Source organism: Homo sapiens, chromosome 11 (assembly GCF_000001405.40).
Source record: "Homo sapiens chromosome 11, GRCh38.p14 Primary Assembly".
In the NCBI taxonomy this organism is placed as follows: Eukaryota; Metazoa; Chordata; class Mammalia; order Primates; family Hominidae; genus Homo; species Homo sapiens.
The window spans coordinates 85,901,908-85,918,862 of record NC_000011.10 but is presented as its reverse complement, the minus strand read 5'-3'; the positions used below and the strand labels follow the sequence as shown (position 1 = coordinate 85,918,862).

General features: G+C 40.4%; 1 protein-coding gene across 11 annotated transcripts in view; it reads right to left on the bottom strand.

Annotated features, from left to right (window-relative positions):
* Positions 1-16,955, bottom strand: part of CCDC83 (coiled-coil domain containing 83) — a 64,948-nt gene that overhangs the window by 1,151 nt on the left and 46,842 nt on the right. For 6 of the 11 annotated variants that reach the window (XM_011544839.3, NM_173556.5, XM_011544843.2 and 3 more), the window contains 4 exons: positions 7,461-7,582; positions 6,122-6,214; positions 3,365-3,444; positions 2,630-2,835 (listed from right to left, as the gene is read on the bottom strand). In XM_011544839.3, the coding sequence (XP_011543141.1) occupies positions 2,630-2,835; positions 3,365-3,444; positions 6,122-6,214; positions 7,461-7,582 (501 nt within the window). The remainder of the gene's footprint in view (positions 1-2,629; positions 2,836-3,364; positions 3,445-6,121; positions 6,215-7,460; positions 7,583-16,955) is intronic. The other 5 variants (NM_001286159.2, XM_047426560.1, XM_017017354.2 and 2 more) reach the window with 3 other exon arrangements.

Below are 16,955 nucleotides of genomic sequence, written 5' to 3'. Positions count from 1 at the left end.
CTGATCTTTTGTAAAGTGCGAGGTGAATACATAATTGACTGTTCCCCTACCTGCTCCTTTTCTCTTGCAACATGTGGATGACCATACCTTCCTGCTTTCCCCTCCAGCCCACTTTTCTCCTTTAAATATTGAAGGCCTCCAAGTCATCTTTGGAGACAGGCACAGACCACACACTATTTCTGTGATTTTGTGGGTTTTTTTTCTCCCAGGTACTGTCCTTAACATTGGCAAAATCAACTTCTAAATTGATTGAGACCTGTCTCAGATAGCTTTTGGTTTACAAATCTAAGATATCAACAAACAGAATTTGAAGTCTAACTGATATGAAATCCATAGCCAACCCAAAACTGGGTGGACAGAGCTCACGCCCTACCCAATGTCCCTTCCTCCAGGAAGTCTCCCATGCCATAACTCTTGCTTTTTAATTCCTTTGACACGTCACTTTAGCAAACCTTTCCCAAGTGTTCACTGTATGCCAGGCCCTATATCAAGTGCTGGGGTGCAATGATAAGCACAGACTGATCAGGGACACAGGTACAGGTGGTCTGTTTACTCTTATATGGTACTTGTTGATTTTCTTACCTGTCTTCTACAAGTCTGTAAGTGATTTGGGGGCAAGGCCTGCTGTATAGGCATATTTGAGATTTCATTTCTTGCTGTTCTCTCCCTTAAATGCACAAGCATTTAACAAGGACCTGGCATGTTGTGGGGTTCTCAATAAATATTTATTTGAATTTAGAAGAATCAAAGAATGAAAAAGGAAGGTGATGTCTTATTTCTCAAAATACATATAATTCTATTTAGCTTTCAAAATATGTAGCTGTGATAAATGTAAGATAGTAGAAAAGCAAGTTGATGGAGACCTACCACATATTTCAGAATCACTGGGAGGAGGATTCTCAAGTAATACACCATGGCCATGGCAGTTTGACTACATCAAAAACTTTCATGGAAAGTAAGTCTTTCATTCAACCAAATGGTATGCTATTTGGGGATTTTGTAGACAACTGTCCACTAGCCTGAGATCATCATGACATCCCAGGAGTCATGATTCCAAGATACGCATGGAGATGTTTCAGTGCTAGAGGAACTAGAACTTTAGTCTTTAAATCATCGCTTGATGGCAGCAGGATTGAATTGTAGTTAGTTAAAATGGTTTGTGTTGGTTTATTCAGTTTCTTCTGCTTTCTTACATCATTTTTTCCACTACCAGACATCAAATTCTAGGAGAACTTTTAAAGTATCAAGAGGGAAAATAACAAGGGATGGCTGTGGGAGTAACTGGAATGTACTAGAAAGAAGTTTCAAAATTAAAAGGCTTAATACTCCAGGTTTTAATGAATGGTATATGTGCAATCTGTACTTTCCAAAGATAGCCTAATTCATATCCTATCCCAAGTGCTTCTCTTACAATGTGATACTGACCTTCCTCCATCAAGATGTAGGAGCTATGTTCCTTCCCCTTGGATGGAACTTTGTAACTACATCAACCAGTAGAATATGATGGAAGTGACAATGTATGATTTCCAAGGCTAAGCCATATAAAACTGCCTTCTTTCTTTTCTTTCTTTCTTTCCTTCCTTCTTTCCTTCCTTCCTTCCTTCCTTTCCTCCTTCCCTCTTTCTTTCTTTTCTTTCTTTCTTTCTTTCTTTCCTTCTTTCTTTCTTTCTCTTTCTTTCTTTCTTTCTTTCTTTCTCTCTCTCTCTCTCTCTCTCTCTCTCTCTCTCTTTCTTTTTCTTTTTTCTTTCTTTCTTTTCAGAGTCTCGCTCTGTCACCCAGGCTGGAGTGCAATGATACAGTCTCTGCTCACTGCAACCTCTGCTTCCCAGGTTCAGGCAATTCTCCTGCCTCAGCCTGTCAACTAGCTGGGATTACAGGCACGCACCACCATGCCCAGCTATTTTTGGTATATTTAGTAGAGATAGGGTTTCACCGTGTTGGCCAGGCTGGTCTCAAATTTCCGATCTCAGGTGATCCGCCCACCTCAGCTTCCCAAAGTGCTGGGGTTACAGGCATGAGCCACTGCAGCCAAATTGCTGCTTTTATCTTGGTCTCTAGGGTTGCTTGTTTTGGGAGAAGACAGACACTATAACAAAAGAAATTCAAAACACCCTGTCAGGAGGCACATGTGAAGAAGAAGTGAGGCCCTCAGTTTAGCCAGCATCAACATGCTAGCCATATAAACCACCTTGGAAATGAAGACTCCTGCCCCGATCAAGCCTTCAGATGAGTGCAGCCCTAGCCAACATATGGTTGCAACTGACTGAGAGTCCACCAAGTGAGAACTGTCTAGTGGAGCCCTTCCTGAATTTCTAACCAACAGAGCCCTAAGCGAGAATAAATAGTTATTGTTATAAGCCACTAGGTTTTGGGGATTGTTATGTAGCATTAGATAACTTACTTTGTATACTATTAATGGAGGCCTATAGAGGAATATAGGTAGCAAATTGGGCAAGAGTAGGAGTGAAAATGGTATCCAAATGAGAGATGTGAATGGTGGGCCAATTTTACTAATAATTGCAAATGGAATTTTCAATATCCATATTTTAGGTTAATTTTCTCAATTAAAACAGCATTTCTCAAAACAGCATTTTCTTAGTAGTCAAAGTTGTGTTGTTATGAATCTTACCTTGAAATCCTTCTCATCCTCATATAGTAAGTACTTCATATCAGTGTCCCCAAACTCTGTGCCTGAGTTTTCCTCTTTATCTATCTTCACATACTGGAGATCTTCGATGCTATTTTCATGACTAAGATGTAAGATAGTGCTCTCATCTGATGAGGACATCAAGTCTCTACTTTCTACTTCTGTGGGTTGCAATTCTGACTTCTCTTCTTGGATAAATACAAAGGAATTAATTATGTATACATTTTGAACATATACAAATAAAAATGCAATACATACTTTGTCACATTTTTAATTGGATGGAACTTTGAGAATTGCAAATGTAGAATTTATGTATTAAAGTAAGAGGGAGTCCCATTTGTAGAAACTCTAAGTTGTATTTCTTTCTGTTAGCTAATAAGTTATAGTAATTATATTGGTGCCTAAGTATATGTTGTCATTTTGGTTGGCTAAATAGGGCCCTAAACCTTGCCAGTGTAGACAGCAGTCTCATCCCTCTTCACCAGTATTTATTTAATTTACTGTGAAACATGGTGACCTTAATTTGAAAGTGGGACTACAGACAGGAGATAGATTAGGACAAGCACTGCAAGAGGAGAAATTTAGAGAAGCTGGCAGGTGTCTATTCTCTGAATAGCTTTTGTATGTGGGGCACCTGCTCACAATAGGTAAGTGTTTTTTAAATTGAAAAACAAGAGTTTGAAAAAAATCATCATCATTATTGCAATAAAGTAATACCTATATGTGTTTCTGGCAATTCCAAAGACATTTCTTCAGGTGGCACTTCTAGTCCAGCAGCTTGGGTAAGATATAGTCGCCTAAAAGAACAAATGAGAAAAACAATCTGTCAGTCAATAAATATTGCATTGCATGCTTACTAGGGTCTATCTCTCTACTAGGTGCTAGAAATGCATAGATGAAAAATGAGACATAATTTCTACCCTGAGGAGCATAAAGCCCAGTGGGGTGGCAGACAGCCTTACGGTATTTTAAAGTCATGGTGTGTACCATGATGGGTAATTACCATAGTGTGAGAATAATGGGATGCAGAAAGAAGCAGCACCTGAGTCAGCTTTAGGGGGAAGGAAAGTTTTCCTGGATGAAACCTGATCTTAGTCTTTGATACAGTTTAGCTGGGCCCCACCCAAATCCCATCTTGAACTGTAGTTCCCATAATCCCCATATGTTGTGGGAGAGGGACCCAGTGGGAAGTAATTGAATTATGGGAGCGGTTACCTCCATGCTGTTCTCGTGTTAGTGAGTTCCCATGAGATCTGATAATTTATAAGGGGCTTTTCTCCAACCTTCGCTCTGCACTTCTTCCTGCTGCCATGTGAAGAAGGTCATGTTTGCTTCCCCTTCTGCCATGAATCTAAGTTTCCTGAGTCCTCCCCAGCCTGGTGGAACTGTGAGTCACTTAAACCTCTTTCTTTTCTAAATTACCCAGTCTCGGGCAGTTTTTTATAGCAGCATGAGAATGGACTAATACAGTCTTGAACCTGGAGGTGGTTGCCAGGGAAGAGCTAGGGGTGAAAGAAGGGCATTCCAAATAAGGAAATAACACACTTAAAGTTCAAAAAATTGAGAGTGAGCATGGCACTAGTCAGGTCGCTGTTGTAGTATTTCAGGTGCGGAATGATAGTGTCCTGAAAGACCACTTTTGAGTGGTTTTCGTTTTGAGATGAAGAGAGAAAGAGAAAGCGAACAGTAGGAATCCAAGATACCATCTAGGTCCTGGCTTTTGCTTAGTGGTATGCTTCACCTACAAGCCCAGCGAACTGATGTCCATATGCTGTTGTAGCTCTCTCTACATTGTTTAATTCTGTGCTCTCCTTTTTAGAGTGTCCACTGAATTTTCAATCAGAAAATATCATGCTTTGAAAACTCTGTATGGCATTTCCATGAGGTTTACCTGAAGACAGCATGAAGTAATTGAACGCTTGCAAATGTGCAAACAACCCTTCACGCTTAGCAGCTAAGCAAGTAAAGTGAATCCCCTAAATTAGGGGCTGTGAGTTATTTAAAGAACATGAATAAAGTGTTATCCAGATGCTAATGGCTCCAGCAAATACTGTAACTACATACAATATTTACACCTATGAAAACTTCTAAAAACTTAACTTTAGTTAAGGTAAGTTTAGTAAAGGTACCTTAGTAAACGTAAGTTTCACATGTAGCTGTGGTCTTCAGGGAGACATGTCTGAGGCTATAGAATTCTTTTGTTTCCTAGTTTTACCATTGTGAACAATTAAGATCTTTCTAAATGCCATAACCTTCAGGAATCTAGCTTTTTCTATTAATTGCTAGTTTACTGTTACTTCTGTACTACTACAGGGTAACAACACTTGATACTTAATGATATGGAAAATAGTTTAAAAGATGTTATTATGGTAAGTTAGTGTTAGATTTGTAGGTGTTGGCCCACTTAGCCTCAGCCCTGTGGCACTGGAGTCCTGGGCAGTCACCTCTGGCTGACAGTTTCCTCATCTGTTTGCCCCAATGTGTCAAACAAATCCTATGACATTCTATGTGAGTTGAGATGGGAAAAAGTTTGAGTAACTACATAGGAAATGTGGTAACTCTATTAACCACAATATCCCATTCCTCATCCAAATAGGGAAATAGAACTTCTTCTGTGTCCACTGGAGACAGTTCATGTCTATTTCTTATCACCCTACTAGTATTTTACAAAACTTAATTCTCAACAAAGAGATGGAGGGGGAAGTTACCAAAAAGATATAATATGTGTAATATTCCTTTGGCTTGGAAATGGGTACAGTAAAATCTCCTGAACATCCTTCAGGTTATCTTTCTGCATAAGAAGTCTAGCAGATAATTGAGGGCTTTCAAATTTTCCAGTTTCTTTATGCAGGTCTTTCTAAAGTGTCCAAAACAGTTGCCTCAAGGAGTTTACAATCTAGTAAAGCAGCAGACATTAAATAAGTAATCAAAAGTGTGATAAAGGTTGGTTACAAAGGAAAAGTTCAGGGTGTTGTGGGAGCATATAGCAAGGACACATATATCAGTTCCTATAAATGTCACCCATGGTGTTTCTTTTCCCTTGAAAATATTTTGACTTCATTTCTTCCAACTCTGAAGCTAGACTAAGCATTCTATTACTCTCAGGAAAACCAGCCCCTAAAGCACTGATGAACAGTGTGGATTTTACAGAAGATTTTTATAGGGAAGAGCGAGGATGACGTTAGATTATATACTGCACAGTAAACAACTCAATGAAAATCCCCATTAAAAGTTTCTCAGTCTCCCATTCTGTTCTTGCCAAGTCCCCTTTGGCCAATGAAATAATTCCCTTTTTTAGAATTATTAGCACTTTACAACCATGTCAGAACAAAATCAAATATACCAGACTGAGTTGATCCAGGTAGAGACACGGGTCTGGCAGTTTAGAGGGTATCTCTTTCCTAAAGATTAGCCAGTTCAGAAAAGAGGGCAGTGGACAGCAGCTATAGCAGTAGGTAGTTAGAAGCCACATACCAGCAACGCCTGGCAGAGATTAGACATGATTCCAAAGGCAGCAGCAGCAGATGACGAGGATTAGAGGTGGGACAGGAATGTAGCACTGGATACCTGATCACAGAGAGGAGGGCTGGCAAAAGTGAGCATTGCCTACTGGGCAACAGTGAGCACCTACCCCTAGGGGCCCTCTAGGGCATCAGCTCAAGAGACTGGAAGTACAGGAGTTCAGTAATCAATCCTCATTCAGCCTCACCTCATCTATATTGGTATCTACTCTCTCTGAAGCACACAAAGTAATAATGCAAAGGGGGCAGATGGCCTCTTTCTCTATCCTGCCCCACCCAGCTTATCTCCCAATTTCTCTAATCTTGTATCCTGACACCCATCATTTAGCCTAGCAAACAGGGAACCCATAATTTACCTGTATCCACCTTTCCTGGAAAACAATAGAAAGTTTATACATAACAAATACATGATCATGTCTCAAATAGTAGTCTTCCATGTCACACAAACAATAGGAACTACTTGTGTGGAAAGTTTTTCCTGGCTATTCCACCAGGTTCAACTTAACATCTGCTTTAATTCCTAGACCTAGACATTTCTCTCCCATACTTGCACACATGCACCCTACATTTGTGTGACTTCCCCTCTCTTCCTAAACATGCTACTATTTAGATTATTTTTTGGTTTTGACTACTTGTCTAAATTATGAGTGCCATTTTGAATTTTAATTTTATATTCAAGGGCCCTAGGTTTCTGTCAGGATAAATATATTAAGACTTTTTTTTTTGTCAGATAAGGAAGACAGCTAACCAAACATATAAAGGTATATGCACCACTTGGTTTCTTGTATGCAAGAACAAATATGACTTGGAATGCCAAGCCCTTTTCTCGGCCTACAGAGTAGTTTTGACTCTTTCAACCGAAAGAAATAATTCTACAATCCACAGGAGCCCAGATCACCTCCATGAAACTTCCAGCAAGTGGATCACCTCCTCCTCTGTGCTAACTCTCTACCTCCTCTATCTTCTGCCGTACTGTTATGTACTTATTTTCATGACCATTACCCCTGCTGGTCTGGAGGCTCCTGAATGTTGGCAGTTATGATGTTCATGTTATGTGCTGGCTATTGTGACTACAGTTCATTGCAAGATAAAACAAGCCAAACTTTACATTGTACCAATGGTCAATAGTAATAATCCTATACCTTCACCATGAGCATTTTTTTTGTCCCTTTCTTTTTGACTACTGCTGGAGCACTGAATAATTAAATCATCTTTTTTTGTTTTAAAAAAACAACTTTTTACAGCAGATACAAATGTTTACAAAATACTCTCTATATATTAACAATTTTCACCTGGGTATCTTGAGATCCACAAGTCTACAGTTGGATAGTTGATCAATAAGCACCAAATTTTCTGCTTCCAGTTCATGAATAGCATTTTTTAATTCTTCAACTTCCTTCCTGTGAATTGCAACCTGTTCTCAGAAGAAGAGAATGAATGTTGGTACTTATTGATTCAGTTCTATTAAGTTTTCTTTTCTTTATTTTTTTCTTTTTTCTTTCTTTTTTTTTTTTTTTTTATTTGAGACGGAGTTTCACTTTTGTCTCCCAGGCTGGAGTGCGGTGGTGCAATCTTGGCTCACTGCAACCTCTACCTCCTGGGTTCAAGCGATTCTCCTGCCTCAGCCTCCTGAGTAGCTGGGATTACAGGCATGTGCCACCATGCCCAGCTAATTTTGTATTTTTATTAGAAACAGGGTTTCTCCATGTTGGTCAGGCTGGTGTCAAACTCCTGACCTCAGGTGATCTGCCTGCCTCGGCCTCCCAAAGTGCTGGGATTACAGGTGTGAGCCACCATGACTGGCCAAGTTCTATTAAGTTTTCTATAATAAACTCAACTTCTAAAAGTGCATTTGCCTGAGGGGAAGACCTATTGTGTATCATTTATTACTGGGCTTGCTTTGTCCTTCCTCCCTTAAAAGGAATAGGTGGAAATCATTTTTAGATCATCAGCAGAACTTGTCTGAATAGTTAGGCAGTTATGATAGAATAGCAGGAATTGTCCTTTTGTACCCTTCAAAAACACTGCTGAACTTAGGTATAAGTCAGAGGCAGACATAACTAAGAAAACATGGCTGATGAATTTAGCAATAGGGCATATTAGTAGCTAAGTTAGGCCCTATCTAAGGGTAATTATAAACAATACAATGAAAACCAATAACACTGGGAAAATGCTATATTATTGGGACTTTTTAAAGGAGAAGCACAGGCTAGTAGTCCTTCTGTCAGCCTCTAGAATACAATGATGTTCTCTCTGAGTGCTAGGTAATTCTGAGAACTGTCAGGTAGATGAAATATTGTTTGTCCATTCGTTCATTCATTCAGTTGTATCATATGGCTATCATGTGGCAGAAATGATATTACACTTTGGGAACAAAGGATCAACAAGGTGTAGTAACCTTCAAGGATCTTGTACCCTAGTGGGAAAGATGGTAATGAAAACAGAAAATAGCATGATAATAACCATAATGGAAGCCATCCTGGTGCCATCGGAGGAGAGAGAGGTTCACCCTACTTCTATCAGTTGTCGGGGATAAGGGAGCATTAATAGAAGAGATGACACTTAATCTGGATCCTGAAAACTAAGCAGGGACTCCCTGGGCAGACACAGGAGGCTGTGCTCTAGGCAGAAGAAACCACATGTGCAAAGGCATGACCATTTTAGTGTGGATAGATACAAAATAAGAATGGGGAGAAGCAGGAGAGGAACTGGACAATTAAGGAAGGGCCAAATAATGCTAAAGAGTCTGGTTTTTATCCTGTAGGTGATGGAAGGTCATTGATAAACATAGCAGGCTTAATGTTTACTGAAGAAATTGACTAACTTTTGTACATCAATTGGGCCTGTAAAAAAGAAGAAGAAAAATAATGTGGCTAATTCAAATAGGAAAAAATGTCCTGGTTCTGTTGGTAGAATTCTCATCTGTTTTTAAGAAGTGTATTTTGTCGGGAGGCTGAGGCAGGAGAATCACTTGAACCCGGGAAGTGGAGGTCACAGTGAGCTGAGATCACGCCACTGCACTCCAGCCTGGGCAACAGAGCGAGACTCCGTCTCAAAAAAAAAAAAAAAAAAAAAAAAAAAAAAAGTGTATTTTGATGACTTTTGTCCAAAGAGGGCTTGATAGTGGGAAGAGTATATAGAAGAATGTTACTAGATAGAACATCCAAACCCACCTCTCCACCACCCAAAGCAGCCTGAGCTACACAGGTGCTGGATCAGGAGGTGCTCATGGGGAGACAACAGAGCAATAGGAGAATTAGAAGCAAGAGCATAAAATAGAAAGAGGTAGGCTGGTGAGAATAATGGTGATATAAACTGGAGGAAGTAATAAAAGTCTTGAGGGAATATGATGAAAGAAAAAAGGCACAGGGGTTTAGATTCAGTATCTCTTGTCAGAAGCTGCCAAGAGTGTAACTGAGATGGGTACTTAGAAGGAGATGATAACATTTTCTGCTTTGTCACTGAGATTTAATTGTATTTAGGAATCTTAAAGCATTCAATATGTTACCACATGCATATCTCTATCACATGATCATTTCTTAAATGCAGGAATTCTTAGCAAATAACACAAAAACCAAAAATAAAAATAAAAAATTAGCTGGGCGTAGTGGTGTGCACCTGTAGTCCCCACTACTTGAGAGACTGAGGCGGGAGGATTGCTTGAGCCCAGAAGTTCAATGTTACAGTGAGCTATGACTGCACCATGACACTTCAGCCCAGGTGACAGAGCGAGACCCTGTCTCAAAACAAACAAACAAAAAACCAAAAAAACCAAAAACATGAGACAGGGCTTGCTCTGTCACCCAGACTGGAGTGCAGTGGTACCATCTCAGCTTCACTTTAGCTTCAACCTCCTGAGGCTCAGGTGATCCTTCCACCTCAGCCTCCTGAGTAGCGAAACTGCAGTAGTAGAACACTTGGCTAATCTTTTTTTTTTTTTTTGGTATTTTTTTTGTAGAGTCGGGGTTTCATCATGTTGGTCAGGTTGGTCTCAAACTCCTGGGCTTCAAGCAAGCTGCTTGCTTCGGCCTCCCGAAGTGCTGGGATTACAGGCATGAGCCACCCGGCCATGAATTCTATCTGTCTATCTATCTATCTATCTATCTATCTATCTATCTATCTATCTATCTATCTATCTATCTAATCATCTAGTCTATGCTGTGTTGCCCAGGTTGGAATGCAGTGGCGTGATCTTGGCTGACCACAGCCTCCACCTCCCAGGTTCAAGCGATTCTCCTGCCTCAGCCTCCACGGGTGCCTTCCACGGGCGCCCGCCACCATGCCCAGCTATTTTTTTTGCATCTTTAGTAGAGACGGGGTTTCATCATCACACCTGGGATTATAGGTGTGAGCCACGGTGCCCAGCCATAAATTCTTATTATGGGCAAGGTTCAGAGCTAGATGTAGAAGGATGCAAGGGTGAATAAGGCATGGCTCCTTCCCTCAAGAGAGCTTATAATCCAATGATTAAAACCACAAATAATTATAATATAAAGCAATACCAGTCCCATGGAAAAGGCTCAAATATTGCTGGTGGCTTGAAGTTAGAAAGAAAGGCATATATTATTTATCTGCCTCAAACAATTTAGTAAAACCGTTTAAGTCCAGATTACTAAATTACAAAGCTAGGGTTTGGTGTTTTAGGATCTCATATGTTGAGAGATAATTATTTTGATTACAAGCTTGAATGCCTTAAGGAAAATTTATGATTTTCAAATGTCAAAGGATGAGGAAAAAAAACTATAGTTAGACACTGTAAACAGAAGGAATTAATGCAACATTTGGGAGATGTTTGACCTAAGGGCCTGGCATGCTTGGGAGGTAGCACACACAGTTCTTGGTCTCTTTCGAAAGCTGGGAATGGGGGCCCTTTTGAGATGTTGCATCCACTCTTAGAGGCTAAGGCTCTCCTATGACATCACGTATCCCTTTAGAATAGTAATGTGCTCCTCAATAGCTATCTCCCTCGGCCTTTTGAAATGTTAGGGAATAAAAACTACTTCTTTTTCATAACCCTACAAACACCTTTGGATTTCTGGGGTCAGAAAGTAAAAAGGAGGAAGAAGTGGAAGACCACATTTCCCTCCCTGCCTCAGCTGCCCCCCAGCAAAATGCCCAAGAAATATACATAGAAACTGGGAGAGATAATTTAGTTAAAACGTTAAGTTGGGGACCTAGGATCCTGATTAAAATATATGTTCTTGAAATTTTCTCCTGAAAGATCCAAGTTAGCCTTATGTCTCCTCATACTTGAAATCCTGATGGTAATTTCCTTGATTCCCTTTGTCTAGTTTCTCCAGCTTTCCATTTGTTAATCTCAATCATTTGGAAATTCCAGTTTCCTTCATTTTCTAATAAGCATGCTAAATAAAACCAGATAATTGAAATCATGCAGTGTTACTTATAACAACTAATACATGAAAAAAAGAAAATAGTTATAAATTAAAACAACAACAAAAAAAGATAATCATGTAACAAAACAGCTGTGTAGCCTTCCCAGTGATTTATATTTTTGGTTATTGCTGAGAGATAAATGGAGAAATATTTTCATTAGTTCCATTATTAAATATCCTTTGTTACTCATTCTAAACTTTCACCAAAGAAATTAATTAACATATATTGTTCTATTTCCAGGCAATTTTCAATTCTTGTGATGGTACCAGAAATAGTTTTAATTACTTTTGCAAGTAAACTTAATAATGTTAAAAATGAATATTTATTAAAACAAAGAGAAATTAAATCTATTACATTTCCATAAAATGATTTGTTATTTATTTAATTTAATTTAATTTAATTTAATTTAATTTTTTGAGACAGGATCTCATTCTGTCACCCAGGCTGGAGTATAACGGCCTGAACATGGCTTACTACAGCCTCAACCTTCCAGGCTCAAGTGATGCTCCTATCTCGGCCTCATAAGTAGCTGGGACCACAGATGTGTGCCACAATGCCTGGCTACTTTAAAAAAATTTTTTTTTTGTAGAGATGTGGTCTCACTATATTGCCCAGGTTTGTCTCAAACTCCTAGGCTCAAGCAATCCTCCTGCCTTTGGCTCCCGAAGTGCTGGTAGTATAGGTGGGAGCCACCATGCCCAGGTGATTTGTTCTTTATTATAAAGCTCTTTTTGTTCCTGATGCCATTAAACTTAGACTTTTTTTTCTGTCATTTATTTCCATTGAACTGTGAGAAGCAGAAACATAATTTCTGGCTTCAGTAGGAAGAGTCAAGTCATGAAAACAGCCCTTCTTATTAGTCAAATGCAAATTTTTTGTAGTCATTTTCCCTAAACCTAAGATTTATGACATCTCATGAGATTAAGTGAATTGAGGCTGGGCAAGGTGGCTCACTTCTGTAATCCCACCATTTGGGGAGGCTAAGGCTGGTGGATCACCTGAGGTCGGGACTTTGAGACTAGCCTGACCAACATGATGAAACCTCACCTCTACTAAAAAATAGAAAAATTAGCCAGGTGTGGTGGTGGGCAGCTGTAATCCCAGCTACTTGGGAGGCTGAGGCAGGAGAATCGCTTGAACCTGGGAGGTGGAGGTTTCAGTGAGCCAAGGTTGTGCCATTTCACTCAAGCCTGGGCAACAGAGTGAGGCTCCGTCTCAAAAAAAAAAAGAGAGAATTGTTAAGTTATTTGATTAGGATCATACTTTGTATTTAATAAATGTATAAGAAGTAAGTTTCTCCCTAATACTCTTTTTTTTTTTTTTTTTTTTTTGAGACGGAGTCATGCTCTTGTCGCCCAGGCTGGAGTGCAGTGGCAGGATCTCAGCTCACTGCAAGCTCCACCTCCCGGGATCACGACATTCTCCTGCCTCAGCCTACTGAGTAGCTGGGACTACAGGAGCCCGCCACCATGCCTGGCTAATTTTTTGTGTTTTTAATAGAGACGGGGTTTCACCGTGTTAGCCAGGATGGTCTCGATCTTCTGACCTCGTGATCCACCTGCCTCGGCCTCCCAAAGTGCTGGGATTACAGGCATGAGCCACTGCGCCTGGCCCTCCCTAATATTCTTTAACTGTTGAGCTCACCTTGAGGTTTTAAAATTGTTAATACCTTTTTTTTTTTTATTTTTTTGAGTCTGAGTCTGGCTCTTGTTGCCCAGGCTGGAGTAAAGTAGCACAATCTCTGCTCACTGCAACCTCCACCTCCCGGGTTCAAGCAATTCTCCTACCTCAGCCTCCCATGTAGCTGGGATTACAGATGCATGCCACCACGCCTGGCTAATTTTTTTTTTTTTTTTTTGAGGCGGAGTTTCACTCTTGTTGCCCAGGCTGGAGTGCAATGGCGCAATCTCGGCTCACTGCAAACTTTGCCTCCTGGGTTCAAGCAATTCTCCTGCCTCAGCCTCCCGAGTAGCTGGGATTACAGGCATGCACCATCACGCCCGGCTAATTTTGTATTTTTAGTAGAGACGGGGTTTCTCCATGTTGGTAAGGCTGGTCTCGAACTCTTGACTTCAGGTGATCCTCTCACCTCAGCCTCCCAAAGTGCTGAGATTACAGGTGTGAGCCACTGCGCCTGGCCCACGCCTGGCTAATTTTTGTATTTTTAGTAGAGATGAGGTTTTACCATGTTGGCCAGGCTGGTCTCGAATTCTTGACCTGAGGTGATTTGCCTGCCTCAGCCTCCCAAAGTGCTGGGATTACAGGCATGAGCCAACAACATGCCCAGCCTTAAAAATTGTTAATACCTTTTTAAAAATTGTGAATTCATCCTAGTTAGTTTGGGGAGATAGTATGAACTCCTATTCACCATGACTTAATAATGACAATTTAAAGATAATTGTCAGTTATCATAGAAGCCATATGAATGTTTAAATTCCTTGTTTCCTAGACTCACTATACTCAGTCAAATAGGGAGCAAGAAAAAGGAAAGAGTAGAAGCTGACGGTGACATTTTTATCTTGAGTGTCTGGGCAGATGGTAAAAAGGAAATGGAGGAGAAAATTTTTGAAGAGAAACTTAATGAGTCCTGCTTTAGGTACATTGAATTTGAAATGCCTTTGGGACATCCACGTGAAAATATTTGGCAGGGAAAAAAAATGTAGTTCCAGAGACGAGGACACACATCAGTTTGTGCTGAAGATGTACATTTGAGAATCATATAAAAATAACTCATTAACAAGAACTGCATGTAGCTGAAGTGCGTTCTCTCAAAAGGCAGTGAGCTTTGTTTTATAGATGGCATTGAATCACAGGTTGGGTGGCTACTTTGTATCTAAAGGGAATTTCAAGTAGAAGGGTAGATTGGGCTAGATAAGCTTAAGGTACTGCTGTCCTCATAAACCAGAAACAGGCTACTAAGAAACAGAATTCCATGACTCTCTATTACCTGCTAGAGTTCAAACTTCTCTGAATGGCACACAATTTGGGCCAGACCTACTTCTCCATTTATTATGATAGATGTACCGTACAATGTAAGATGTCAGTAATAGAGGAAACTGTTGTGGCGTATATGAGAACTCTCTTAGTATCCTTGCAATAATTCTGTAAATTTAAAACTGATTTTAAAAGTTTATTTTTTTAAAAAAGCAGTCAAGAACAAAACCCCTTTCATGCTCCCTGGCACCTCTGAACTGACGGGAGAGTCATTAATTGAATGGTTTTATGCAGAAGATTGACAAGACCAGGTTTATGTTTCATTTATTTTATTTTTTTAATTAATTTTTTATTTTATTTAATTTTTAAATTTAATTTTTTAAATTTAATTTGATTTTTTAAGACAGAGTCTCGCTGTGTTGCCCAGGCTGGAGTGCAATGGAACAATCTTGGCTCACTACAACCTCCGCCTCCTGGGCTCAAGTGATCCTGCTGCCTCATCCTCCCAAGTAGCAGGGACTACAGGCAGGTTTATGTTTTAGAAAGGTGACTCTGAGGCAGTGTGAAGGAGAAATGGAAAGATTCCAGTCTAGTCAGGGAAGAAAACCAGGTAAGACACAATTGAAAGATCTGGGTGAGAGATAATAAGGCCTGAACTAGGACCATGGCAGAGAAGGAGAAGTGGTCAAAGTAGAACTGATGGGACTTGGAGGCCTTCTGAATATGGAAAGTGAAAAGAACATTTCTAAAATAGTTGGCTCTTTGGCTGGGGGTGGTGGCTCACGCCTGTAATACCAGCACTGTTGGAGGCCGAGGCGGGTGGATCACTTGAGGTCAGGAATTCAAGACCAGCCTGGTCAACATGATGAAACCCCATCTGTACTAAAAATACAAAAAAAAAAAATTAGATGGAACGTGGTGGCATGTGCCTGTAATCCCAGCTTCTTGGGAGGCTGAGGTACAAGAATTGCTTGAACCTGGGAGGCAGAGTTTGCAGTGGGCCGAGATCATGCCACTGCATTCCAGCCTGGGTGACAGAGTGAGACTCTGTCTCAAAAGTAAATGAATACATAAATAAAATAAAAATAAAATAGTTGGTGCTTGAACAACACATGCAGATTTTTTGTATGTTTGTTTGTTTTAGATTGCTCTGCCACCCAGGCTGGAGTGCAGTGGTGCACTCTCAGCTCACTGCAACCTCTGCCTCCTGGGTTCAAGCGATTCTCCTGCCTCAGCCTCCTATGTAGCTGGGATTATAGGTGCCCACAACCACGTCTAGCTAATTTTTGTATTTTTAGTAGAGATGGGGGTTTCACCATGTTGGCCAGGCTAGTCTCTAACTCCTGACCTCAAGCGATCCACATGCCTCAGCCTCCCAAAGTGTTGGGATTACAGGCATAAGCCACCATACCTGGCCAACATGCAGATTTTTTTCAATCAAACACATAAAAAATGCAGTATTCCTGGGATGCAAAACCGGCATATACAGAGGTATATACTATAAACATGCTATAACCCATGCTGTATACTATGACCCATGGTATAAACATGGGCTCTGCAGGGCTGACTGCCAGATTTGAGTGTGCTTGGATTTTGGTATAAGTGGCAGGGTGGGGAAGGTGGAGGGGTCCTAGAACAAATCCCCTGAGTATACACAGGGGTGACTTAACTCCCAAGTTTCTGGCTTGGGTGACTGGATAATGGTGGGATCCTTAAGTGGGACAGATAGAGTAGAAGAGGAGGCAGTTTTCAGAAAAAGGGAAGATGCGGTCAATTTAGGAGTTTGAGATGTCTGCACCGGTTGCACAGCTGGTTGTTGAATATGTGGTTTTAGAGCCTGGAATTGAGATCAGTTTCAACTTGGACGGGATGCTTTTTAGGCCTGCAACACAATTATCATCCTCAGACACTTCTTCCCTGGTATACTGGGAAGTATACTGTTTCCTGTTTTTCTCTTCATCAGTTTACTTTCTTGTTTTGCTGACATACATGGTTAAGTAAATTCTTGAGAAAACATGAGAAGTATTCTGAGCCCTTGCATTTCTGAAAATAGCTTTATTTGTCCTTAATCTACTTTAGCTGACTATAGAACTCCAAGTTAAAAATAATTTTTCATCTGAACTTTGCTATTGAAAAATCAAATGTCAGTTTGGGTCTTATTCCCTTGTAGTTAACTTCACCCCCACCCCCACCTGCTTCTGCCAGAATCTTTTAGGATTTTCCTTTTGTTCTTGGTGTTCTGAAAATTCATGTCCTTTTCAGAACCCTGAAATTTTCTTCTATTATTTCATTGATGATTCCCTTCCCTCTATTTGCCCTTTTTTTCTTTCTTTTTTCTTTCTTTGAGACAGTCTGTCACCCAGGCAGGAGTGCAATGGTGCGATCATAGCTCACTGCAGCCTTGACCTCCTGGGCTCAAGTGATTCTCCCACTCCAGCCTCCTGAGTAGCTGAGACCAC